The sequence below is a fragment of the Homo sapiens genome, chromosome 4, assembly GCF_000001405.40.
Source record: "Homo sapiens chromosome 4, GRCh38.p14 Primary Assembly".
In the NCBI taxonomy this organism is placed as follows: Eukaryota; Metazoa; Chordata; class Mammalia; order Primates; family Hominidae; genus Homo; species Homo sapiens.
In genome coordinates, this window is record NC_000004.12 from 8,684,918 (window position 1) to 8,711,720 (window position 26,803).

The 26,803-nt window shown below is 55.3% G+C and overlaps 6 annotated features.

Moving 5' to 3' along the window:
* Positions 5,120-5,621: an enhancer, noted in NCBI's record as "H3K4me1 hESC enhancer chr4:8691763-8692264 (GRCh37/hg19 assembly coordinates)". NCBI's record gives its function as "activates a minimal SCP1, AML or CMV promoter by ChIP-STARR-seq in primed H9 embryonic stem cells {active_cell/tissue: H9 hESC(primed)}" and the evidence as "EXISTENCE:reporter gene assay evidence [ECO:0000049][PMID:30033119]".
* Positions 9,843-10,499: an enhancer, noted in NCBI's record as "H3K4me1 hESC enhancer chr4:8696486-8697142 (GRCh37/hg19 assembly coordinates)". NCBI's record gives its function as "activates a minimal SCP1, AML or CMV promoter by ChIP-STARR-seq in primed H9 embryonic stem cells {active_cell/tissue: H9 hESC(primed)}" and the evidence as "EXISTENCE:reporter gene assay evidence [ECO:0000049][PMID:30033119]".
* Positions 16,374-17,342: an enhancer, noted in NCBI's record as "H3K4me1 hESC enhancer chr4:8703017-8703985 (GRCh37/hg19 assembly coordinates)". NCBI's record gives its function as "activates a minimal SCP1, AML or CMV promoter by ChIP-STARR-seq in primed H9 embryonic stem cells {active_cell/tissue: H9 hESC(primed)}" and the evidence as "EXISTENCE:reporter gene assay evidence [ECO:0000049][PMID:30033119]".
* Positions 20,532-21,278: an enhancer, noted in NCBI's record as "H3K4me1 hESC enhancer chr4:8707175-8707921 (GRCh37/hg19 assembly coordinates)". NCBI's record gives its function as "activates a minimal SCP1, AML or CMV promoter by ChIP-STARR-seq in primed H9 embryonic stem cells {active_cell/tissue: H9 hESC(primed)}" and the evidence as "EXISTENCE:reporter gene assay evidence [ECO:0000049][PMID:30033119]".
* Positions 21,279-22,025: an enhancer, noted in NCBI's record as "H3K4me1 hESC enhancer chr4:8707922-8708668 (GRCh37/hg19 assembly coordinates)". NCBI's record gives its function as "activates a minimal SCP1, AML or CMV promoter by ChIP-STARR-seq in primed H9 embryonic stem cells {active_cell/tissue: H9 hESC(primed)}" and the evidence as "EXISTENCE:reporter gene assay evidence [ECO:0000049][PMID:30033119]".
* Positions 24,727-25,502: an enhancer, noted in NCBI's record as "H3K4me1 hESC enhancer chr4:8711370-8712145 (GRCh37/hg19 assembly coordinates)". NCBI's record gives its function as "activates a minimal SCP1, AML or CMV promoter by ChIP-STARR-seq in primed H9 embryonic stem cells {active_cell/tissue: H9 hESC(primed)}" and the evidence as "EXISTENCE:reporter gene assay evidence [ECO:0000049][PMID:30033119]".

Below are 26,803 nucleotides of genomic sequence, written 5' to 3' on the forward strand. Positions count from 1 at the left end.
AAAATTTAGAGATAAGTTCTCACTATGTTGCCCACACTGGTCTCAAACTCCCGGTGTCAAGCAACCCTTCCACCTTGGCCTCCCAAAGTGCTGAGATTACAGGCATGAGCCAAAGCGCCCAGCCAAGATGACACTATTTTAACAGGTTATCCTATCCTAATCATTAAATAAAGGACCTTAAGCGGCGTGGAATCAGTAACGACATGCCTGTCTCATAATGGGCGGTACATTTCAAGACAGGTCTTGCTTCCTTCACAGGATGACTGCAGGTTAGCCAGGTGGGTGGTCTCAGGGGGGGCTAGTCCACTCCATGCTGCATGGGGACCTAGTCTCTGATCCTAAGTGCAGCCACCATGTCTCTCCTCGTGGTTCCACGATGGCTACCCCTACTCCACCGATCTTGTCACACCACAGCGACCAAACAGGAAGCAAGGGGGACTGCTGCTCTGGCCAAGGGAACTCTCCCTTTCACTGATGAGGAGAGAAAACGTTCCCAGATGTCCCACGTCTCATTGTCCTGACTTGAATCACAAGCCCTTCTGGAAGGGATTGAATTGCCATGACCTTACATCAAGGATCGGTGAACTATTTCTGTGAAGGGCCTGATGGTGAATAGTTTTGGCTTTGGGAGCCATATGATCTCTGACTCAACCATGAGATTGTAGCACAAAAGCAGCCACATGCCGGGCACACTCGTGCCCACCTGTAGCCCCAGCTACTCCAGAGGCTGAAGTGGGAGGATTACTTGAACCCAAGAGTTCAAGATCAGCCTGGGCAACATAGCAAGACCCTGTCTCTTAAAAAAAAAAAAAACCAGCCACAGATGATGCAAAAATAAATGGATGTGGCTGTGTTTCAATAAAACTTGATTTACAAAAATAAGCAATGAGTAAGATTTGTTCCACAGGCCAAATATAGTTTGCTGATCTCTGCCTTAGACCAAATGATACTCACCCCTTGGGGCTGGCCAAATTGCAACCAGTGAATCTGCCAGAAGCGTTTAAGCCGGCCCTGCATCTCCTGGGTTGGGAGGAGCAGTGGCCAGTGCTGCCTGACCTTCCAGCAGAGGACTTCCCATGCCTCCATTCTGGGAAGCAGAGAGGGACCAGCAGCTGAGTGTGGCCTGGATGGGACACAGAGGTGGGGGGGCATTGCTGAGGCCGAGCCTGTTGCACATATTGGGAACAGCAGAAGGGACATGTAGGGCATAGCTATGGAGACCCAGGGGCACAGCGTGACTGTTAGAATCACCCCGACTCTTGCCAGTGGAGGGATGTCCCTGTCCCTCCTCTGGGGGCTGATGCCTGGGCCCGCTGTGCATCTGGGATCTGCATTCTCACATGCTGCCTCAGTGGCTCTGAAAATCAAGTAAATCTGGAAACCCTGGTATGCTCTCCTTTTATTCTCCAAGGAATTCTTTGGGACAGGTGACAGTCTCTCTCTTAAAGTTGGGGAAATGGAGGCACAGGGTTGTGAAGGTGCATTCAATCTGAGAATTCACCCCATGTGAGTCTGCAGATGGCAGCGTCTGCTACCAACCTGGGTGCAGAGTCGGCAGCCCAGAGAGTCAACCAGAACCCTTCTAGAGCGCAGTATGGTGTGGTTTTGAGCACTCAGGCATGTTTCAAAGTTCTGGCCCTTAGACCTAGTAATTCTCTTCCAAAGAGCCGTTCAGGAAACAGGGATGTAGAGCCAGAAACATCTACATGTTGTTCATGTTTTTATCATGATGTATTTACCATGATTGTACAATCCTTTTTATTTTGAGATAATTGTTGATTCACATGCAGTGGTAACAAATGATTCAGAGAGATCTTATGTACCCTTCACCCAGCTCTCCCTATGGTAACATCTTGCATAGCTAGGAGGAGGCCAACCAGGAAATCAACATGCTAGGAGACAGTCCATCACCCTATTCCAATTCTCGGTTTTGCATGGCAGTGTGTGTGCGTGTGTGTGTGGTGTGTGTGTGTGTGGTGTGTGTGTGGAGGGTATGTGTGTATGTGGTGTGTGTAGTGTGTGGTGTGTGTGTGGTGTGTGTAGTGTGTGTGGTGTGTGTAGTGTGTGTGTGGTATGTGTGTGGTGTGTGTAGTGTGTGTGTGGTATGTGTGTGGTGTGTATAGTGTGTGTGGTGTGTGTGTGGTGTGTGGTGTGTGTGTGTGGGGTATGTGTGTGGTGTGTGTAGTGTGTGGTGTGTGTGTGGTGTGTGTGTGGTATGTGTAGCGTGTGTGTGGTATGTGTGTGGTGTGTGTAGTGTGTGTGTGTGGTGTGTGTGTGTGGTGTGTGTGTGGTGTGTGTGGGTGTGTGTGTATATTGTGTGTGGTGGGTGTAGTGTGTGTGGTGTGTGTGTGTAGTGTGTGTGGTTTGTATGTGGTGTGTGTGGGTGTGTGGGTAGTGTGTGTGTGGTGTGTGTGGTGTGTGTGGGGATGTGTGTGTGTAGTGTGTGTGGTGTGTGTGGTTTGGTGTGTGTGGTGTGTCTGCTTAATCTTGTGCAATTTTTTTCACATGTGTAGCTTCAAATGGCCACTGCCACAGTCAAGATACAGGGCACTGATTTTGAAAACAACCATTTGCAATAATTTGAGTATTTGTCACAAGAGAAATTGATATAAAAGATTCTGGTGCTTGCTGGGCGTGGTGGCTCACACCTGTAATCTCAGCATTTTGAGAAGCTGAGGCGGGTGGATCACCTGAGGTCACGAGCTCGAGACCAGCCTGACCAATATGGTGAAATCCCATCTCTACTAAAAATACAAAAATTAGCCAGGCATGGTTGGGGGCACCTGTAGTTCCAGCTACTCGGGAGGCTGAGACAGGAGAATTGCTTGAACCCAGGAGGCGGAGGTTGCAGTGAGCCAAGATCGTGCCACTGCACTCCAGCCTGGACGACAGAGCGAGACTCTGTCTCAAAAAACAAAAGATTCTGGTGCAGTAATTCAATTATGCCCACGTCCCGCTTCTTCTGTGGCTCCCGACGTAGCAGAGATTCTTGCACCCATTTTACTGAGGAAACAGGATCAGAGAGGTGATGCTGGGGGCCCAGGGCCACATCCGCTTTTGACTGGGGTGGGGGAAACGACAGAGTCCACCTCCTCCCACTGTGCTGTCTTTCCTGGGATGTGTGGGGCAGGGAGGATGACCCGCCAGCAGTGTGGGGAGACACAGGCCATCTCCAGCCGTCCCGCCCACCAGTGCGCTGTGTCTCTCCCGCCTCTGGATTGTAGAGTGTCTCTCTGCACAACACACTCACACGGAGGCACGGGGAAGGGCAGCAGCGAGAAAGAATTGCAGAGGAAGAGGCAGGGGTTTCTGCGGGAGCTGTTCTGGGCGTCGCTCCTGTATCGCCCAGGTCCTCCCGGACACTGCTGTCAATGGGTATTTGGTTCTTTCCCGTCCCTTCCCCGGAGGCCTGGCCTGCAGCTCCCCGCAAGGCCACTGCGTGGCGCCCTGTACCCCAGGCGGGACGGCCGGCGCCGAGCCCAGGATTCGTCCACGCCTCGCGCAGTGGAGCTTACGGGAGATGCGCGACCGTCATCCTTCCCTTCTGGTGACATCTTCCCAGGCCCTACTTTCAACACATTCTATAATTTCTCTAATTAAAAAAAAGATTAACAATGGAAAATCCCCTTAGGAAGAGATTATTAATGAAGAAATTGTGTTCACTTTCCCATTCCAACGATTGCATGAATGTTCGTGTGCTGTGTGGCCTCACGGGGAGGGTGCTGTTTATCTTTGAGGCACTGGGCCGGGGGCGGAACCCAGGGTCCATTCCTGCTCCCTTTACCACCAGCTGGGTGGCGCCGGGCAAGTCCCTCTCCCAGCTGTGCCCCTGGAGTGCACAGGCCCGTGCTCTGGTTCTCTGTGGAGACTCCCGGAAGGCAGTCTGAGACTAGGTGGAGGGTGCAGGCACCCGGCTCATCCCCAGAACAATGGCAAGACCAAACCCAACCAGTGACATTGGTAAGGAGAGAGCTCCTGTTGCTTTCTTCCAAGGAAGAGCTCGCAATCAAAGGCGGGGCTTGCTGTGCACGTGTGTGCAGAGAATGGAGGAGGCAGCAGAGGGCTGGATTCATTGAGCTCATGAGTCGTTGAAAGAAATTTAATTTTAAAAGACTAGTTCATTCCAAAACATTCGCTGAGGACCCGCTATGTGCTGGGCCAGGGGCCAGCGCTGGAGGCAGGATGACGAGACAGGCTCCTGCTCCCAAGGAGGTGTTCGTCACCTGTAGGGGACAGACAGAGGAATCTGGCGTGGCACCCCTGCTGGCAACCCCGAGGTGGAGGAAAGCATGGAGGGGTATGAGAGGCCCCGACCCATCCTCAGCAGGCCAGGGAGGCATCCTGGAGAGATCCGAATCTTAAAGGATGGCTGAGGGTAGAGAACCGAGTAGACAGGGAAGGAAGAAAGAGCATCGGCGAAGGCCGGACAGAGGCTTGCCAGGTGCAGGGAGCAAGTGCGTGCATTTGGGGTGGAGGGAGGGCCTGGCTGGAGAGGTGGGGGCTGACCGTGGGATGCCCTGTGCACCCTCAGCTCATGGGCTCTGGATCCATCTTGAACAGCTGTGCAACCACAGATTTAACCCTTAAACACTGTGAGCCTCAGTTTCCTTCTCTGTAAAATGGAGATGATAATCTCTCCCTATAGGGCTGGCATCTGGAGGGAATGTAAACTATGGAGTGCTGGGCATGGGGTCCGAGGAGGCACCAGCAGGGATGAGCCGCCTCCTGCTCTCTCCCTGCCCCAAATAATTGTCTGATCTCACCTGAATGGGGAGCAAGATGGTACTCTTCCTCTGACAGGCATGGCCCAGCCCACTTTCTCTCTGCCTGGCAGCTGTAGCTTGCTTTATGAATCAGACCTTCCATAGGGGTCATTCTCCTGACCCCTATCCTGCCCACCTGTGATCTTCCTGAGTCACCAGCAAAGGCCTCATAGCCACACAGGACCCTGGGGCCCACAGTCTCTGTCCCCGTTTGGAACACTGGAGCACGCGTGCCTGACCCGTCCCTTTGCACTGAGGGCACCAGTGCTCTCCTGCCCCGGGCCTGCTGGCTGCACAGGTGGAGTCTGGGGGTACGATGGGTCACAGAACCAGAAGGCAGGACACCTGGGGACACCAGGCAAACAGGTTCCCTTCTTGAATTGGGTGGGCCGGGGTGCCCACATCTGCAAAATTAAGTGGTTGGAAGAGGCCAAGTCTGCAACTCCGTGTTCTAGGTGTCAGTGTTTGTGTTCAGGGTCAGGTGACACAGACAGAGAGACAGACATTGAGAGAGAGAGGGAGAATGAGCCTAGATGTCAATGTTCTCAGGCCTGATTGAAAAAAAGAGTAGGAAGCAGGAAGACTTTGGGGTCAATACGCACTGTGAGGGGAGGGGCTGCTGGCCCCCGTGTCTGGAGCTCAACAGCTCCCAGTGCTCTTTCTGGTCTCGCCTTCCATGCATTCAGTAAGCGCTGTTGCACCCCTGCTGGGCGCTGAGCGTGTGCCGGGCACAAGGACGCTCTCGAGAACAGGGCAGTAGGTTCTGCCTGCGTGGAGCTTGCCTCCTATCACAGGACAAGGGATTTATGAAAACTGCAGCCGCTGTAGATATGACAGGAAGGGAGGGGATGATGGCAGGAGCCCAGCAGAGGAGTTGGGAGCTTGTGGGCCAGGCTGCAGGGCTGAAGGAGCAGGCAGGGTGCAAGCTGAGCAAGGACTTCTGGTCGCCCAGGGAGCCACCTGGGACCACGTGTTGCAGGCAGAAGCAGCAAAGGCCCTGGGGTGGGTGGTGCTGCATGTTCTGGGACATGCCACGGCCGTGTGGCTGCAGGTGCTCTTGGGGGGTTGAAGTTGGGTCGCAGGAAACTGGGGTTGGATCAGGCAGGGCTTTGGGCCAACATGTGACTTTTGGGTCTTTCTCCAAACTCAGGCATGGCAGGACCTTGAAGAGCAGGGATGTACTCACCTGGCATTTAGTGACCGTGTGACTGTATTGACACGGGAGGCTTCCGATGCCCTGCTGCAGGGCCTGGAGCTCACAGCTCTGCCACAGCATCTGGCCCAGGCAGGGAGGATGGCCCTGGAACTCAGGGCTGTCAGCAGAAAAGGACCAGGTGGGGGTCCGTTTTGGAACAAGCCCTGCCTTGGTGTAGAGGACAGATTGGAAGCTTTAGGAAAGCTCCATGTGCCCCTGAGGAACACGAGGTCTGCAATGGGTGCAGCACTGCGCCCGCATCCATGTGAAGAGCACGAGGTCTGCGATGGGTGCAGCACTGCTCCCGCATCCATGTGAAGAGCACGAGGTCTGCGATGGGTGCAGCACTGCTCCCGCATCCATGTGAAGATCACGAGGTCTGCGATGGGTGCAGCACTGCTCCCGCATCCACGTGAAGATCACCAGGTCTGCGATGGGTGCAGCACTGCGCCCGCATCCATGTGAAGATCACGAGGTCTGCGATGGGTGCAGCACTGCGCCCGCATCAGTAGGGTCGGGTTTATGAAGCAGCTGCTCAGCCCCTTCCTGTCCTGGTAAAGTGTCCTCTGCTCATTGCATCGGATTTTGACAGAGCTGTGCCCAGACACCCCCTACGGTTGAGGCTGGGCTGTGGCTCCTCTCAGTTCTGTGAATTCTTGCTCTTTATGTTTTGAAGCCGCACTGTGAAGTGCACAAATCGCCCTGTATCCTGGGTGGAGCGGCCTGGCAATCGCTGTGCACTGAGGTATGCTACCAAACCTTAAAGCCCCAAAGGTATCTGTCTGATACTAGTATAACCGCGCCAGCTTTAGGGGCTAGTGTTTGTGTGATGTATCTTTTTCTATACTCTAACGTTTTCTGGATCCTTATATTTAAAGTGAGGCAGGAGAATAGGGAATTGGGGTAGCCAAGGGCTGGGGCATAAGGAAAGGAATAGCAGGTGCAGCTGGTTCACGTAAGCCAGAGAATTGTAGGGGCAGCCGGTTCTAGACAGGACTAGGCGGCACCCAGGCCACATCCTCACTCCTGCAATAACAAGACAGAAGTTGCCAGCAGTCTCTGATGGACCACAGGCCAAGTCTCCACTTCAACCTCTGATTGGTAACAAGCCAGTCCTTCATAGGGTATAACCAGTTCGAAGCCTCTAAGGGGCACCTAGGGGTGTTGCCAAATTCTTTTGGCTTTATAAAAACCCTGGGGACCATCGCAGTAGAAGAGGCCCTTGAGCCACTTGCTCGAGCCCGTTTCCACTCTGTGAATTGTACTTTCACTTCTTCAGTAAATCTGCGCTTTCATTACTCTTTCTTTTGTTGCTTTGTCTTTTGTTGCTTTGTTCTCTTGTTGCTTTATTTGTGCGTTTTATTCAATTCTTTGTTCAACACACCGAGAACCTGGACAACTCATAGTCCAGAACTTCCATCTGGTAACAAAAGCGTGTCTTTTTTTCTTTTTTTTTTTTTTTTTTTTGAGACAGAGTCTCGCTCTATTACCCAGGCTGGAGTGCAATGGCATGATCTCAGCTCATTGCAATCTTCGCCTCCTGGGTTCAAGCAATTCTCCTGCCTCAGTCCCCTAAGTAGCTGGGATTACAGGCATGCCACCACGCCCGGCTAATTTTTGTGTTTTTAGTAGAGACGAGGTTTCACCATGTTGGCCAGGCTGGTCTTGAACTCCTGACCTCATGATCCGCCTGCCTTGGCCTCCCAAAGTGCTGGGATTACAGGTGTGAGCCACCAAACCCAGCCCAAAAGTGTGTCTCTTCAGGCGGTGTCTGTGTTTGAATATGGTCTGCTGATCCCTGTCTTTTGAGTATTAATCAATTCACATTTAATGTAATTATTGAGCTACTTATGTCTACCACCTTCACATTTGTTTTCTAACTGTCCAACCTGTTTTGTTCCTTTCCCCCCAACTTGTTTATTGCCTTCTTCTAGAGTCATTACTTTAGGTCAATTTCCCCGCCTCCCACGTATTAGTTATTTAACTCACTGGTTATCTTATGATTGGTATCGTTCTTGGTTTATCAAAGTCAAATACAAACAAGTGCTTTCACCCATTCCCAGTATGCTAGGATTTCAGAATGTGCCAACTCCATTTAACCTTTTCCAGCCTTTTGTGTTATTGTTATTCATCTGAATTTGGCATGTATTTTAAAAGTAACCATTGTCTGTGCAATCCATGTTGACTTAGATCCACCTGCACATTTGCCCTCTCTGTTGCTTTCACTCAATGCTTTTTTTTCTTTGTTTCTAACTGACGTTATCTCCCTTCTGTCTGAAGCCTCTCTTTATTGTTTTTTGTTTGTTCGTTTGTTTTTTCTTTTTTGTTTTTTCTGCAGGTCAACTCACAGCTGAGTCTCTCCAACCTGGTTCACTAGGAAATGTCTTCATGTTGCTTCATTTGTGAAGATCTTTTGCTGGGTATAGAATTCTGAGCTCACAAGGGGCTTTTTCTTCATCACTTTAAAGAAGACCTTGTTTTTGTTGAAGTCAACTGCCGTCTTTTGGTGGCCCCTTTTGTTGCCCGTGTGATATGCCTTCTGTTTGTTTGCTTGTTTGCTTGTTTGTTGGTTTGTTTGAGACGAGTCTCGCTCTGTCGCCCAGGCTGGAGTACAATGGCATGATCTTGGCTCATGGCAACTTGCACCTCCTGGGTTCAAGCAATTCTCCTGCCTTAGCCTCCCAAGTAGCTGGGATTGTAGGCACATGCCACCACGCCTGGCTAAACTTTGTATTTTTAGTAGAGACTGGGTTTTACCATGTTGGCCAGGCTGGTCTTGAACTCCTGACCTCATGATCCGCCCGCCTTGGCCTCCCAAAGTGCTAGGACTATAGGCGTGACATCACGACCGGCTGATATGCCTTCCTTCTGGAATGGAATGTGTCTGCATTTAACGTTTTCTCTGTCTTTTGTTATCAGCAGCTCCACTGCTAATGTGTGGCTTTCTTCGTGTCCTTCTTAAGGTTTTTTATGGTTCTTGAATTGGTAGCTTGATATGTTTTCTTCCATTTTGGGAAATTCCCCGCCATGATTTCTTCAAATCCTGTTTCTGTCCCCTCTTCTCTTCTGAGACCACAGTCCGTGTATGTTTCGCCCTCACATCCTGCCCCATGCTTTTATTATTTTTTTCTCTGCTCTGTGTTTTCCATTCTTTTTGCTCTCCTCATTTTAGCCTCACTATTTTCTTTTATTCTTAGTCCATTTATGTTGTTATTGCCTCAATATTTTCTACCCCCAGCGCCCACTCCATTATCATTTCCTGCTCTGCCCCACTGTGAGAACTGGTGAGTCCATTGATCAAGTCCTTCATTTCTGTTTTCAGACTTTTCAGTTCTGCCAATGCTGTTGACTGGTCTTTCTAGATTCTTCTTATCCCCCATCTTGTAGTGGGGACAGGAGCTACTGAAGGAGAAGTAGGACCCGGGGCCCAGATGGGAGTGTCAGGTGCCCTCGGGGGATGTGGAAGGGGACACGCGGGGCTGGTGACACCATGCAGGAAGTTTGGAGTGCCGGCAAAGGGGTGAGGCAGGCTGTCTCAGCCTCGATGAATTTGAGGGGCCAGTGGGACTCCCGGGTGGAAGAGCCCTGGAGGCAGCTGGAGCTGGCAGAATTCAGGAGGGAGGTGAAGTCTGGAGAGAAGGTGAGTTGGCCCCAGGTGAGCAGGAAGAGTGGGAGGAGCAGGGAGAGCAGGTGGAGGAAGGGAGAGTGAGGAGGAGCAGCCGGGGAGTGGGGGACCAGGACAAGGTGGTGCTTTGGGAAAGGGAGGGAGGAGAGCGTTTCCCAGCAGAAGTAGGAACTGACAGCGTGAACTGCCACAGAGGGCTCCCCTGAGATGAGGGCTCCCCTCCCCAGGACACGGAACAGGGTGGGCCAGGCCAGGAGCCAGGTTTGAAGTTGGCAGTGTTGTCACATGAAAAGGGAGTGGCCAGGGGATGGGGATGCCCCGTAAACAAGAGAGCAGACCTGGGCTGCCCGTGGGGACCCTGAGCCAAGGCTACCCGGACAAGGACCCGAGCATAGCCGGCAACATCACAGAGCACTTGCCAACAGCTCCTATGGATGCCGGTCCTCCAGGGCCCCTCCTGGCCCGGGAATCTGCCCTCTGAGCTGCAGGAACAGCCCCAGGACCCTGGAAGGGAGAGGGCAGTGGAGGCGGGTCACACCTGGTCAGGTTTCAAGGGCCAACTGCAAAAGGGCCCTGAGGCTGGGTGGAGGAGCCACAGCCCAGGAAGGCTGCAGGCAGGAAAGGGGTGAGAAGCCCCTTCCTGAGAGTGGCATTGGCCTCTGGTTGTGAAGTGGTCCAGGGCCAAGGGAAGGTTTTCCCTGGGTGGGGGCAGCACAGGCATCTGTGGTCCCATGGCTCCCCCCGGCCTTTCACCTGCCTCCGTGGGACACCGGGAAGGTGATTTGCTCCTGCCTGGCTGTGGTTTCTCTTCTCCAAAAATTGGTGAAGGCAAATAACATCCACTTAGTCTGCCTCGTGAGATGCCAAATGCAGGAGTCTCCACCTCTGCTAAGGGCTGTGCTCACGTGTGAAGAGTTGCTGCCGCCTGTGTGCAAAGAGTACAAGAGTTACGGAGACATCAAGGACGGCCACTCCCAGAGGAAGGAGGGTGCATGTGTTCAGCTTTCTTCCCCTCCACACACCACACACCACGTGTACAGGCATGTGTGTATGCACATAGCACAGACCATGCACACATTCACTTATACACTCATACGCACAGGTACACACATACATTTGCACACAGACCTATACCTGTGCACATGCACACATTGACACATACATACACCCGCACCTGCACACTCAGGAAAGTCTCCTTTCTTTGCAGACACCCTGGCCCTGTCGCTGGTCCCTGGCAGCCCGGGCCTCTTACCCAGTCCTCTTCTCCACTCTTAATGCAAACACTTTCAAAATGAAGGAAAGGAGATATTTTTTTCTAAACACTTAAAATCCAATTTTAAAAAATCAATGGTCCACTTAATCAGCTGCAGCCCTGGGGCGGGCAGGGCAGGCGGGGGAGCACTTGTGTTTCGTCCTGTGCATCTCAGGCTCTGTGGCTTCCTCCTAAGGCAGAACCACAAGCTTGGGTTCCTCCTGACACTGCCCTCCAATGGAGGTAGCAGGGGTTAACTGGCCTCCCCGAAGTCACAGGCCTTCTCCCTATTCCCTCTTATCGGGTGGATGACTCCAACATCCCCAGATCTGCTTCCCCAGGGAGCCCAGGTCAAGTACCTCCTCCACCAGGAAGTCCTCTTGGACTGTTCCAGGCAAGTCCCCTCCCTTGCACTCCTGGCCAAGTGCTCCTTCCTGTCCCAGGATGACCACACATCCCCATGCTCTCAGGGCAGGACTGGTGGCCTGCAGCTGCCCCAGCCTATGTGTTAACAGCGTCCCCATTAGGATGACAGATCCAATGGACACTCTGCTTCCCCACACTGCCACTTCCTCCTTCACTCTCCCAGGATGTGGTCACCATCGGTGCTGGGCCAGGCTCTGTGCTGGTCTCTGGGCCATGGGGAGGAACAAGACAGTTGTAGGAGACACTCAGGTCTGTGGACGATGGCTCTCACTGGCTGGAGCATCTGCAGCAGCCGCAGGTCCTGGGCCTGGAGTGGGAGGCTTTGCAGGAGGCCACCAGGAGGGACCCCGGTCTGCCCTTCCATGAGGCCTGCCCACCCCTCAGCCCATGCACCTCCCTGGCCCAGAAGCTCGCTCCCCAACCAGCCCCATGTCCTTGGCATTGAGCAGGAGTTTGGCTCTGCCCCTTCCCAGCTGTGGGGCTTTCAGCAAGTCACTGTCACCTCTCTGGGCCTCAGCCTCTCCAGCTGGAAAGTGGAACGGATAGCAGTGTCCTCTTTGAAGTACACAAGTCAATGGCTTTAGTATACAGCAGTCCCCCTTACCCACAGTTTTGCTTTCTGAGGTTTCACTTACCCGTGGTCAACCTTAGTCCTAAAATATTAAATGGAAAATTCCCAAAATAAACAATTCACGTGTCTTAAGTTGCATGCCATTCCGTGCCATGTGATGAAACCCCATTCTGTTCTGCCCAGGACATCCTCCCTTTGTCCAGCATCTCCATGCTGTACATGCTACTTTGCCCAGCCATCATCTAGTAGCCACCTCAGTTACCAGATTGAAATCACAGTGTACGTAGGCTTCAGTGCCATTCAAAGCTTCCACTGGGGGTCTTGGAATGCATCCCCCATGAATAAGGATAACACCACTATATTCACAAATACCCGCCACCATCACTGCAGTCCATTTTAGAACATTTTCATCACCTCGAAAGGAACCCCCCACCCCTGAGCTATCACCTCCCCACCCTCCCCTGCCCCAGTCTGAAGCAACCGCTCATCTACTTTCTGTCCTGCAGACCCCCTGTTCTGTTCCTATCATATACATGGACCCATATAGCATGTGGTCTTTTGTGACGGCCCCTTTCCCTTTCCATGATGTCGTGAGCTGCGCCCGTGCTGGAGCAGGCATCAGTGCTGCCCTCCTCTTGGGGTCAAATAGTCTTCCTGTCTGCACAGACAACAATTTATGTATCCATTCACTGGATGATGGACATTTGGGACATTTCACTTCTTGGCTATTATGGATGTTGTTATGAACATTCAAGTACAAGTTTTGGTATGGAAGTTGTTTTAACTTTGCTTGGGTGCATGCTCAGAGCGGAATTGCTGGGTCATAGGGCAACTTTATGCTTTCCTAAGTGGCAGCACCTGTTCTCTTGTACAAAAACAAAAGTTTTGCAAGTAAGAAAGCAGTGCTCTTAGGAGAATCGCTTGAACCTAGGAGGCAGAGGATGCAGTGAGCTGAGATCACATGCCATGGCACTCTAGCCTGGGCAACAGGAACAAAACTCCATCTCAAAAAAAGAAAAAAGAAAGAGAAAAGGAAAAGAAAGCAGTGCTCGAGGACCTTGGCCTTGTACACAGCGGGTAGGAGAGGTTGGCAATTTGTTCCAGTCCTTCCTGCTTCTCCTGCTCCTGGGTCCCCACCACTGCCCTGGCCTCTGTGAGGCACTTGCCACGGAGCAGGACCAGCTGCTCCCCACCCCACCTCTCCACTCTCAGGCCCGACTGCCTTCAAGGTACCTCCATCCCATGGCTGGAAGGGCCTTAGAGATGCACTGGACACTGCTCTGGGGACCCAGGGAGATGAAGTGGCTTGTCCAGGGCCATGCAGCAAGTTAGTGACAGGCCCGGGACACGGAGCCACATCCCTGTGCGTGTCTGGATCCTTCCCGGGTCCATCTGTCCACACTGGCCTCTCTGCACCCCACAGACTGGCTCCTCCTCAGACAGCCTCTGCTCCAGAGGGTGGAGATGGCGTTTCCTGCCCCTGTCTCCCCTTTGGGGCCAGTTTGGAGTCAGGCCCCTGGATATTCCATACTTGCTGGTCTTCTGGAAGCAGAAACAAGCCTGCAGGGACCCTTCTGTCTCTTCCAGCCTGAAAGCATTGCTGGGTGCGAGAAGGGCACCCACATTGGTCTCCTCAGACTAGTGCCTGGGGAGCATCTCAGACGCCTCTTCTTAGATGCCCCGACTGGCCATGTACCAGGCAGCGCTCAGGGACAGCGTGTGCGGGATCGGGGTGAGGGAGAGGCTGGGCTGAGGCGCATGTCGGGGGGCAGGATGGTGGAAAGACCAGGAGGCAGAGGAGGGCAGGGGAGCGCGGCCTTGGCTGCAGGCCTGCTGAGGCGGATGGGGGATCAGTGGCCCTGGACTCAGTTTCCACTCTGGTCAGGAGGGTTGTGGCCATTGGTTAATCCTCCTCTGTCACTCTCCACATTCCCCCTTCTTCCGGTGCCCCTGCCTGTCCCTCCTGGCTCAGGGCTACTGCCCTGCTCTGAGGACGCAGATCTGACCGCCACCCTCCAGCCACACCAGCAGCTCCCCTGCCAGGGGGGACTGGAAACGCCATTCACACCCCATGTGGGTCCCCGGTTCTCAGACACGTGGAAAGAGGCTGAGGTGGCCTGCATGCCTGCCCCCTGGGGTCCTTGCACCCAGCCTGCATCCCCACCCCGTGCTCCATAGGGGTCTGGTTTCAAGGCGGATCCAAGCTCACCTCAGGGCCTTGGCACATGCTCTGGGCTGCCCATAGCATACTCCCACACTGGTGTCTGGCTCCCCCTGAACCCACTTCCCCTTGGCAGGCTTTGTGACCCCCAGCCCTGGATCAGAGCCCAGGAATGTTCATTTCTCAGCCGCCCCCTTCTAGATCAGGCCCAGCAGGGCCCCTTCCTGCTGACCCCCAGTGAGGGCACCTTTTCATCCGTGAGGCCAGAGGTGGGTCTGCCCTAGCACCAGGATCCCTGGGGCCTGGCACAGAGTCCAGGCAGAGTGTCTAGCACAGAGTGGGCACTCAGAAGAGGGCTGCTGGATGAATAGACGGAGAAAGAAGAGGAGGGAAGAGTGTCAGAGGTGCAGATGGCTTGGAAATTCATTGAGCTGCCCAAAGGGGAGGTCTCCCTCCAGGCAGTTGTGCGGCAAGATAAAGGCAGCAAAGCTCTGGCCTGAGGAGCCCCCAGCCCAGCAGAGGATTCTATGACTCAGGAGGCCCCAACACAGCCTGGGACCAGGGCACTGACCCTCGAAGAACCAGCAGATGTCTCTCAGGCAAGGAAGGTCCAGGCACGGGGAACAGCAGGTACGAAGGCCCGGCACCACTGTGTGTGGGCATCAGTGCAGACCAGCCGGCACGAGCTGAGTGGGTCCCCCTCACGCAGGGATGGCCTCACGCGGGCAGCTGAGCCTCGGCCCTGAGGAGAGGGTTTACACCAGACAGTGGCAAGCGATACATGTCCAGGGTTCTCGTGTCCCCGGGTGTAGCTTCACCAGTGTGCTGCTGCCCAGAAATGGAAGGGAGGGCCGGCCAAAGGCAGGGCAGGGGGCTGCAAAGGGCGCCACTTCAGGGGTCTGTGAACCTGCCAGAGAGGTTTTTAGGCTGGGTGCGCGCTCTGTCATCGTAAGGGGTGGGGTCAGTTTCCATCAGATTCTCAGAGGCATCCTGACCCAGGGAAGGCACAGGCGTCACCCACTGCCAGGCAGCCAACCCCTCGCTGAGCAGCAGCGACCCACAGACCTGCCGCTGGGACCCCGTCTCCCTCCCTCCTCACTGTTTGAAGCTGCCGGGCCTAAGCCCCTCTTTGGCTTTTCTCCATCCTGAGTCTGGTTGGCATTCCCAGCCTTCCCACCCTGAGAACCCTCACAGCTGAACTTTGCTAGAGCTGAACTCAAAGTCACTTCAAGGTAGTTTTGATTTTTTTTTTTATTAAAAAAAAAAAAGGAAAAAACCAAGGGTGGGTTATTGGGGGGAAGAACCCGAGCGGGCACTTTGCAATTATCCTTTGAAATTAGAATATTCAGCAGATGTTTCTATTTTCACCCAGTCCTGCTCTCTTTCCAACCCAGCGAAATTAGTTCCAAAGTCATTATTCACCTAATCACAGTAATAGTTTAACATCCGATCTGCCCTCTGTCCAGCCGGGGAGGAGAAGCGGCCAAAGCTCTATTTTGGCACTTCCTTCCCACTGATCCCTTAATTAACTGGCATCTGTTCTAATACAAGTTAAATATTGCAGTTGACTTTATTTTCTCTCTCCCGGTCCTCCAGGTCCCGGGACAGGGTAGATAAAGTGAAACACATTTGCTTCCCCGGGCGGGAGGAAGGGACATGGAGCTGCCTCTCTGGAAATGCGGCCCATCAATCATAAACTGATTACAAATTCGTCACCTTGAATCAATTTCTGTTCACAAGTTCAAAAGGCACCCTGAGCTCGGGGCTATCTGGAACATTCTACATGTGGAGAGGATTAACATTTGGTCGAATGCCTCCTTCTGAGAAGGAGCCCAGTTCGGCGCTCGGGAGGGGGAGGCAGGTTCGAGACACGGATCGCATTAACCCCACAAAGCCGGCGTTCACTGCGGCTCCTACCCAGCCACCCCCTCCCTGGTGGGGGCATTGGCGCTGCCGGGAGGGGTCCTGGCACCTCTTTGTGGACCTAACTGGGGGTGGGGAGGAGAGGAAGAGGCAGAAATTATCTTGTCCGATGGCGTCAAAGCACATTGCAGCATAAATTCTTCTATACGGAATTTTCCTTAAAATGATTATCCTGAAAGAGGCAACTCGTGTGAGTGTGTGTGTGTGTGTGTGTGTGTGAGACAGAGAGAGACAGGGAGAGAGAGAGAACGAGAAAGAGCGAGAAAGCGTTGCCACATGAGCATTAGGGAAGGGCCACTTCCCTGCCGACTTCCAAGTTTGCCCCCGAGTCCCTAAGAGATGCCCTCAGACTTCCTGCCCCCACTCCAGAACCTCAAGAGGAGGCATGTTTTGGGGGAACGTCTTGAGGTTTGGTCAGAGAAGTTCGCTTGTGAAGCAGCCGGGCCTCTGGACCGCCTCCCTCGACTTTGAGGGGATGGGGTGGAGATGAAGTGAGGTGGCGAGGGAGGGGGAGACACCCCACTTTAGCAGCCCCCCTCTTGACTTCAGGTCAGACACGGCTTTAAAGAACATCACCACACTCTTCTTAGAAACAAAAGTCCCCTCCCTCCTCCCTCTCTCCTCACCCAAGTGGGGTCCCAGGCATGGGGAGCACCCAGCACCTGCCCCTTCTGCGCATGGGGGTCCAGTGACTCTGGCAGCTCCATTCAGGTCTGGGGAGGGAAAACAGGAGGAGCTGGGTGCAGACGCCCTTCAGAGGTGGGGGCCAGGTGCAGCCCCCCAGCTCTCCCACCCCCTGCAGGTGTGGCCTGGGCAGCTCTGACATGCTCTCAGCTTCTGGAGGCAAGAAGTCTCTCCTGGGAGGTGGCTGAGCACTTAGAGACACCCCTGCAAAGTGCCCGCGGCACGGTGGTCATTGCCCAGGGTTGGAGGTCAGAGGTCGGAGGTCAGAGGTCACTGCAGTGGACTCAGTGCAGCGCTGTGGCACCGCCCAGCAGCACAGCCCCAGGACACATGAGCGATCCCTCACAAACCTTCCAGGGGCACCCACTGCCCCGAGGGAGCCCGATGCTGGCCTGGGAGTGGCCAGGGAGGAGCCGCTGCCTCTGAGTTTTGGTTCATTTTCACCTCTGCTGGTGCATTTGTTCTGTCCTCTTTTGGATGAGCGTGAAGAAAAAGTTTCTGGAGTTAAATCCACGTCTGCAAAAACACTGAAATCTTGCACTGTCGTCCAGCCTGGGCTCTGCCACGCCCAGCTCCGTGGGGACCATGAGCAGGCCCCATGCTAGACCTGGGTTGGAGAAGCCCTGCTCTCACTCCGGGTCCTTATTGCTCAGACGTGAAAACTGAGGCCCAGGAAGGAGGGCTCTCAAGATCCCTCGGGCTCATTCCTTGAGCGAGGGAGACAAGAGCTGGCCCCTGACCTCCAGCCAAGCCCTTTTCCTCCTGTCCCCTGCCTGTGGCTGCTGAATTGACAGCAGGCTTCTTGCCTTCTGTATCCCAGATCTCCTCGTCGGATGTAGGGATGTTCAACACAGCCAGTCTTCCCATTTAACTCCAAGCACAGCCAGGCAATTTCAGGAGCTAGAGCCCAGTGCTGGGGTCTTGGTCCCAGCTCAGGTGAAAGAGGAGAGGGCAGGATGAATGGACAGGTGGGGACCCCAGGAGGTGGGAAGGGGCTGTACAGAAAGGGAAGGTGGAAAGAGGTGGCCAGGGACTGGGAGGAGGCTTTCTTCCTCTGAGAGCGAGACAAGTGTGGGTGAACCCAGGTAGGGCGTCTGGACGGGAAGTGTTTTCTGGTTAAGACTTGCCTGCCAAATTTCCTCACCAGACATCTGCTCTGCTCATCCCCAGAACACACAGTGTCCAACAGACACAGGTGCTGGGAGAGGGTGTGCTGGGCCCACCATGGAAGCCCTGGCATGGGCCACACCAGAGAAGCCAAGTGGTCTAGACGTGATCCCCAAGTTGAGACTCAGCAGGCAGCTGGACTTAACTCAACAGGCAGGCATCTCCCGCCGGAAGGTGGGAACAAGGAAGGGCAGAGGGAACAGAAAAGCTGGGCCGAGGGAGAGCCTGCCCTCTTCCAGGAACTAAGAGAAGCTCACTGGTATGCAGAGGCTGCGGGACAGGTGTGTCATGGGGCGATCTTAGTGCCTTCACCGCGGCTGCAGTGGGTGAGCTCCAATCTCCACTGGGTGAGAAGCGCTACTGGATGTTCATGAGTTCCAGCCCTTTCTTCCTCCCGAGACACAGCCGTGGGGAACACACACTGCCTGCCCTCAGCAGCTCACAGTCTGGGTCGGGGAGTCAGACTTGAGCCCATGGGGCAGAATACTGGCCCTGGGGAGTTGAGATCAAGGGCTGTGTGTCCTCAGAGGAGGGGGGCTGGCATTACTCATGGCAGAGTCCAAGTGATACCATTGCTCTGGGTGCCAGGCAGGTTCTGGTGGGTGCAGAATTCATTTATCATGGAGGGACTCCTGAGAGGATGACAGGGCCACTTTGGGGGTCCAGCAGTGCTGGTGACCAGAGAGGCAGGAGAGACAGTCATCTTTGTTCTGCAAATGAGCAGAGAGCTGGGAAGCCGAGAGCTGGCAGGGAGGGGGTATTCTGCTGGCCGTAGGGTCCCAGGAGAGGCACAGAGACTCCAGGAAGACAGCTCCAGTTACCACCCACAAGTGGGGATGCTGCAGACCCCAGAACACAGCAGGGACTGGCCAGGCCCCCAGGAGGGGCCAGGTGCACTGAACTGCCCCGGACAGGCCTGGCGGAGGGAGACCTGATGAAGATGCCCAGGCTGCCTGCACACTTTTCTCATTCTCAGTGTTAGATTCCCTCTAGGTTGATTTGTTTTGTTTTCCCCATAATGCTCAAGTTCATTTCTTCACAAAATATCCCAAACGCTGTCTCTGGAGGCAGCCAGACAAAGACTTTGGCCCAGATATGATGATGCCTCAGCCTTCTCATCTGTGTAATGGGAATGAAACTCTCACACCAAATGACCATCCTGAGAATTGTGTGGGGTAAATTCGGGTAAGATCAGCCTGGCTCATCTCAAGTGAGCCCAAGTGTTCCAGGCCCCTGCGTCCCCGTCTGGGTGAAGCCTGTCTGTGGGGAAGTCCCCAGTGAGGTCTGGCAGAGGAGGGGACCCACTGGCCTTGGCTCATCCTCCAGCTGGGAGATGTGACCTCAGTCCAGGAGAGCACACGTGTGGCTGCCTGGCCAGCGCACAGCACCTGAACCATGATTCTCCCTACTCCACATAGCTGCTTTCCAACTCACAAAGCAACCTTCCCACCAAAGGAAAGAACCCCTCAGGCCCCCTCCCTGGCCCTCTGTTCATTTGTGGAGCCGAGACGGGTGACATTTTTCATGACCAATGATGGTTCAGACTTTCCCTGCCCTGGTGGCCACCGCCTGGGTCCTGCACCACAGGGGCCTCTGTGTCTCCCGTTTGGGTGTCAGGGTCAGAAGAGGCTGAGCAGCTCCTGTTTCTCCTGTGGATGTACTGCCTCGGCTGCTGGGGACCTCAGAGCCACATTTTCAGCTCTCCACTAGCAGGAGTGTGAGGCCAAACAGCTTACTGGGTGCTGTTTCTCCCGGTCCTGTTCTCCCATGGCCTCCACTCTTCCTCTAGCCTTTAGGTCACCTCTGTCTATTGTCATCTTTTGCTCCCTTGTTCTAAATGAACTAAGTATAGAGGCTTGTTGATAGATGGACACAGAGAGAGACAGAGAGAAGCAGCAGTGGCCAGCTGCCTGTGGCCCACAGACCCCGGTTAATTTCTTTACAAAACAACAGTAACAAAACATCTGTGTCCCTCCCCTTGTGCCTTGCAGAGGGGGAAGCCTGGGCCTGGAGTCCATGCATGGCTGGGCCTGGGACCAGGCAGTGGAGATGCAGTGCAGACAAGACTTGGCCCCTCTAAGATCACGGCTGGCAGGAGACAGGGACAACGTGGCAGGACAGGTCCTGTCGGTGAAGGACGTGCGGCCAACTCGGGGCTGGCATCTGACAGACCTGGCATCACTTGATGCAGCCTGCCTGGGGCAGGGGCGCTGCCTTGGCTACTCCGTCTGGGCAGGGCAGAGGACGGGGGCTGGCAGGAGGGGGCCTGTGGGAGGAGTCTGTGGAGGCTGTGCCTGGAAAGCTGGGCCCAAAAGCTTGAACCAAAGCACCCTTGGGTGATGGGGACTCTGATGGACATGACATTAAGCACTGTGAGGTCTTGTGCCTCAGTTTCCCCGTGTGCTCAGTGAGGGGCCTGGCCGTTCTTTCTTGGCGCCTCCTGCCTTCTGACCCCAGGACGCCTCCCCAGTGTCCTCCCCAGACGCTACATCAGATGACATCAGCCCCTGTCTGTCCATCTCCCACGCAGCCAGGTTGGTTCTAACTTAATCTGATTTGCTGTTTCACAAAAGCACAGATCCCGCCAGTGTCTGGTCCCTAGGGTGCGGCGCTGACTTGTGTATCAGGAGGGGCTAAGGAAGCGGCCTGAGCTCAGGCACTGGGGCCCCGGGTGCTGGGTAGAGACCAGGCTGGCCTGGGGCTCAGGGCCCACCCCAGGGTGGCCTGGGGAGAGAGGGAAGCTGGTTAGCAATGTTGGGCTGGGGAGAGGTAGCCCAGGATCCCTGGTGGTCAGAGCTAGAAGGGGCCCCACAGGATTCTCTGTCCACATGAGCGGCTCCAGGGCACTTGCTGGAGGTCTGCAGTGCAGGGAGCTCTCCGCTCTCTGAGGCCCGCCCATCCCCAGACAATGCTGCTTGTTAAAATGTCCTCCAGGCAGAGCGAAAAGCTGCCTCCCCGTAGCTTCCCCTCAGCACCACGCAGGCAGTTCCTGGCCCCTGAGGTCCTCCTCTTTGGCCCCCCACCCCAGCCTCAGCTCCAGGTTCCCAGGAGCCTCTGAATGTGGCTCCCACACTGCATGGACGGGAGTTGGGTGCTGGATAAGCCAGGGGGTGCCCCCTCTGCAAAACTTCGGCCTGGCAGGAGGCTTCTTGTGACTTCTGAGGCTTGCCAACAATGTGCGGGGGTCGCCGGCTTTCTGCTGGATTTGCTTTGTAAAGAGGTCTTGGCTTGGGGTCAGCTGACCCCTGTTCCTGTCCAGCCTGCCACCAAGGACTCCGTGTGCCCTGGGGCAGCCACTTAACCCCTGGCCTGTGACGCTGCAGCTTAAAGGGTCTGAGGCCACCCACCTCGCACTCTGCCTGAGGAGCACGCTCAGGAGAGGGAGTCTCAGCAGTTGTGCCAGATGTCACCCAGGTCCAAAGCTGTAGCTTTGCCTCCTCTACCCCGGCCCTCAGTCCCAGACGTGGGAAAGGAAGGGCCCTAATGGCAGTGGAGCCCCCCGAGGCTGCGGCAAGGGGCAGGAGGGTGGTGGGTTGTGGTGGGGGAAGCGTATTTTAATTCTCAGCATCCCTCACTGCTTTCCTCTTCTAGAGACAAGAACAAGCCCAGAGTAAGTGATTTTCCCAGAAAGTTGGGGCATGAGACATGTCCAAGTCCTAAACCCCCATGCCTGTGATTGGAACCTTATTTGGAAATAGGGACTTTGCAGATGTCATTAAGACGAGGTCATCCTGAAATAGGGTGGGTCCCATGTCCAATGACGGGTGTCCTGATGAGAGGAGGAAAATCTGGAAGCAGAGACCCAGGGAGAAGACCCTGCATTGAGAGAGGCAGAGACTGGAGGGAGGCCTAGGATGGCTGGAAACCACCAGGAGCTAGAGAAGTGTGGGAGGAGTCCATCCAGGGCCCCAGAGGGAGCGGGGTCCCACCGCTTCTTGACTTTGGACTTGGAGCCTCCAGGATGCATTATTTGAAACCACCCAGTTTGGGTTGCTTTGTTTGGCAGCCCCAGGAAACGAATGCAGTCGGGTTTGGGATCCGAGCTCTGCCACGAAACCGGCTGTGTGACCTCGCAGGACTTGCTGAACTTCTCTGAGCCTCGGTCCCCTGGTCAAAAAAATGTTGATGCAGCACGTCCCTCACTGGGAGCCGTGGGGACGAAACAAAATGCATAAGGGGCACACGGCGAATGGGTGAGCTGCTTTAGACAGTGGGAAGCCTCCTCCAGCCCCGCCGGGGCCCGGGGGTGCTGCTCTGGCTGTGGGTGGGGGTGGGGTGTGCAAGGGAAATGGGGTATCAAGAGGCTTCCTCCAGCTCCCTTTGATGTATACAACTGCCTCCAAGGGCACGTGAAACCCTTTGAGCCTAGGAGTTGGGGGCAGGAGAACTCTGAGAAAGGCTGCCCCTGGCAATTAGCTGCAGATCAGGTTTCTGCCCGGCGTCCCATGGGTCCTGTCAACAGAGGAGAAAGCCTGGAGCGGGGCCGCAGGTCCTTGGTCCACACATCCCCCTGGTTTCTCATGCCCACCCCTCTCCATGAGACTCTGCTTAGTAAATATTAATTTACCCTCAATTACTGATGACAGGTCGAGGAAGGCCTTGCCCGAGCCGCAGGATGAGGCTGTGTCCTTCAAAGCCGGCACCAAGCAATTAGGGCTAATGGTGTCTGCAGCAGGAGGCCCGTGTGGCTGGCCCCGTGGCCCATCCCCTGGCGGCTACCATGGCAGTGGCCCTGCTTTCGGGTCTGGAGAGTCGTCTCCCACCTCTCTTCCCAGGAAGGACAAGAAAGCAATGTTGCCAAGTGCCCAGGAGGACCCAGAGCTGGGAGGCCTGAGGACCCTGCTAAGCTGGTGAACACTGGCAACTAAGAAATGGGGTTCAGCTGTGCCCTGGGATTCCAGAAGCCCACATTTCTGAGGTTTGGCATTGGAACACAGAGGAGTGTAGGAGCCGATGGTGGCACACTGTCACCACAGACGCCAGTGCAGGGAGCTGAGCAGAGAGGGCAGCCCTGGCCTCACCACACCTTGCTGGCTGACAGCAGCAAATCACTGAGCCTGAGTCTCCTTGGCTGTTAAGTGGGGATACAGTGATTCCCTTGTGGGTGGTGGTGAGGATGGGATGAGACCATGGTCTGCTGTGACTCACGGTTGAGGTTCCTGAGTGTAAGTAGGTGGCCGTGTGTCCAAGGAGGCCCGTTCCCATGCCCTGAGAATTCAGAGGGTTTCGGAAAAGGGAACCCCCTATCATACACTGAGGTCAGCTGAGAGGGAGCCTGATTGAAAGCCTCAGAAAATGAATCCAGAATGAATGAACTTAGGAGGCAGGGGGTGTGGCCTTTGCACACCTCAGCACCATACAAAACCACCCAGTTCTTGCAAAGGTGTCAGCTCACCTGCTATAACAAAGTCCTACAGACTGGGTGGTTTAGAACCAGCAGACACTTATTTGTCACAGTTCTGGAGGCTGGAAGTCTGAGACTGAGGTGCCAGCATGGCTGGGCTCTGGTGAGGACCTTCTTCCAGGTTGCAGACAGCTGCCTTCTCATAGTATCCTCCTGTGGTAGGAAGAGACCTCTCTGAGGTTTCTTTAAAAGGGCAGTGATCCCATTCATGAGGGCCCATCCTCATGACCTGATCTTCTCCTAAAGGCTTCACAGCTTAGTACATCACTGTGGGGATTAGATTTTCATGGATGAACTGGAGGGGGGACACGAATCTTCACTCCCAAGCAAAAGGGCTGTCCAAGACCTCAGAATTCACCCTGCAGATGAAGAACACAGCCCCAAGGTGGGAACCCTGGGATGGGGTGGGCACCGGGCCAGGTCCTGGCTGCTGATCAGGGTGGCCTGCCCAGTGCACCTCTGCAGGTGACGGCACTGTCCTGAGGTCCTGTCGTCCCCTCCCACCCATGCCCCACCACGCCCTGCATCCTGGGACCTCGGTCTCCCACTCTCCCCACTGGGGCTCTGGAAAGTCAAGGTCACTGGGTGAGCTTGAGGATGCCCAACTCCTGCACGGTTCGCATCTGGCCCCTGGGACGGGCATCACTCTCACACCCACCCTGCTGCCACTCTCTGCGCACTCAGCACCCGCGGGAACCTGAACATTCCGCCTCCCAGGATGTGGCCAAGCCAGGGCTGGGACCCAGGGGGGCGGACAGGATTCAGCTTCCCCGGGGATTCAGGGTGCTCAGGCTGAAGGCCAGGCCCTCAACCTCTCAGGATGGGACAGAGCAGGGAAGGGAACATTCACGTGGGCTGTGTGAGTGTTGGGAGGTGCGGTGCATTGAATTATGTCCCCCACATATCCATGTCCATCTGGAGCCTTAGAATATGACCTTATTCGGAAATAGGGTCTCTGTGGCTGTGATGAAGGTGAAGATAGAGATGAAGCTGTCTGGAGTAGGGTGGACCCAAGTCCAGTGATGGGCATCATTCTAAGAGGGGAGGAGGCATTGGGGTGCTGTGGCCACAGCCCAGGAATGCCTGGAGGTGACAGGAGCCGCAGAAGCAGGGAGAAGCCTCCCTCAGCCATTCAGGGGGGCTCCGCCGACACCGTGGTCTGGACTTCTGGTTCCCGGGGCTGGAGAGGATCAGTGTCTGATATTTGAAGCCCCCCAGTTTGTGGTTATTATGGCAACCCCAGAAAATGAATCCAGGAGACACCGAGGCTGGCACGGGTTCTGCCCCCCACAGAGAAGATTGCCCCAAGACAGAGTCCCCCCAGGATTGCCCCCCAGAGCCAGAGCCAAGACCAGAGGTCATATTCCTGTGATTCCCATCTCCTGGGCTGTGGGCACGGAGCCCCAGGTCTGGCACAAGGTCCTCACTCGACTCAGCTCCTCCCATCCCTTTTGGCAAACAGGAATAAGAATTCAGTAAAAATGCAGGCCGGACCCTGCCGGACACAAGGGAACGTCTGCTGCTGGGTGCGTGGTGGCTGACGCTCCACCTCAGCCATTTAAAAGGATTCATCAATGGCATCCTTGCAGCCACTCTAAGAGACACTTTATTATTACCCTGTTTCACAGATGAGGAAACCGACGCACAAGGGGGTGAAGCAGCTTTCCCAGGCCACACAACAGTGTGTGGGGAGTGGCGTCCCACAGCCCTCCCCTTCCACACTTTCCTAACCTCTCAGCTGAGAAGGTGAATTCGTACTGATTAGAGTGTCAAGCTATCCGGTTAACAAGCCAGCATTCGCGGAGCTCCTGTGTGGAGCGCTGGGGACGGGCGCAGCGGGGAATTGCACAGCCAGTCCCGGCAAACAGTGAGGAAACGTGCAGCCAGCGGGAGGCCTTCTTCACAGGAAGAGGCAGGAGAGGACTCAGGGGGGCATCTCTAGCCCTCCACGCCTGTGTAGGGAGAGCACGAAACGGGTCACAGGCTCACAGGAGGAAGCGGATGTCACTTCACTCCCTCTCCAGCTGCCCTGTCCTCCTGGCCTTTCTGCCCCTGGGTGAGGCTAGCAATTCCACAACCTCTCCCCATTCCCCAGTGCCCGGGAACAGGGTGTGGCTCAGCACCCACCTGTCATGTTCTCCCCCCAGAGACTTGGCCCTCCAGTGGGCCGGGGAGGGGGGCTGCTAGTGCTGCGCTGAGTCTCCTTCCCAAGGCCTGGCAGCACGGCTTTCCTTTAGGCGGGTACGGTGCCCCAGCAGCTTGCAGGAAACTCCTTTTTGCCTAAGTTAATCGGAACCGCTTTCTGTTGCTTGCAGCCAAAATCCTATCTGGTGCAGCAAGGCCTCCTGCAGGAAGCAGAACCTGAACTGGGCATTCCCTGGTGGTAGGACCTGTCCAGTTCAGGAGGAGAGGAGAGAGCCACCTGGCAAGGGCAGCTGCCCAAGTCAAGGTGTGGGGTGAGGGCGTGGGATGTGGGTGTGGGGTGTGGGCGTGGGGTGTGGGTGCACTGACCATGTCCACAGGGACTGAGGAGACCATCTGGGAGGGCTGAGACCACAGGGAGGCAGGGCAGTGGGGGTGAAGAGACCCCTCCTGCCTCACCCCTTGCCACCCCTCCAACCCCTCAACTCCTGCTCAGCTCGGTGGCGGGAGCGCCACACTCAAGAGTCACCCACCCAGTATGGACTGCATGTCATGTGGACAGTGCGTTGAGGGCAGGAGCCTGGGCTCTCACATCTCCGCATCCTTCACACCTGAGCCCCACCCAGAGTAGGTGTGGGGCAATGCTGGGTGCATGAAAGAATCTAACTGTTGCAAACACAGGAATGATGCCACTGAGCCATCACTCTCACAAATGTCCAAGACTAATTTACGTGGAGGTACACGGCCCATGCTAAGTTGATCGTGGGATGGAAAGTTGGTCCTCCATGCCCGTGAGAAGTGCCAGTCCCGCTCCTGCAGCCCAGGGGCATTCAGTCCCTGCCAGGAGCAGGGCAGAGTGGAGCAGACAGCTGGAGACCATGTGGACAGATGTGGAGCTTGGCCACTGCTGGGGATGGGGGGAGGTCCTCATAGGAAGCCTATACAGACATCATGTGTCTGGGAAATGCCCTCGTCCCAGAGCCGTGTCAGGCCTGTGGTCTGCAGCAGTCAGAGATGAAAGCCAGTCCAAACTTTGACCAATGTCCCACTCTAACCACCGACAAGGTCAGGGCTGGGGCCTACAGAAAGAGCAGACCCCAAGACCCCACCCTGCCCCCCAGAACCGGGCAGTGCAACCGGGGCAGCAGGACCCAAGCACACGAAGGGTCAAACAAAGCAACAGATCTGAGAGGCAGCTCCAGGGAGCCACAGAGATGTTTCCAAGACAGGGCATGATGGAGGCCTAATCAGTGCCACACAGCCCTCCTGTCCCTTCTGCTCCCTCTCTGGGGCTCCCTCTTCTATGTCCAGACCCTCTCCTCCCCACCATGGTCTCCTTACCTCCCTGGAAGCATTACGTCCTAGCCACCTGACCTCCTTGTAATCCAGTCCACACTGCTGCTTCAGGGACAGTTTCAAATGCCCCTGGGACGTCCGGGTGCTGTGGCTCCCGCCTGTAATCCCAGCACTTTGGGAGGCCGAGGCGGGCA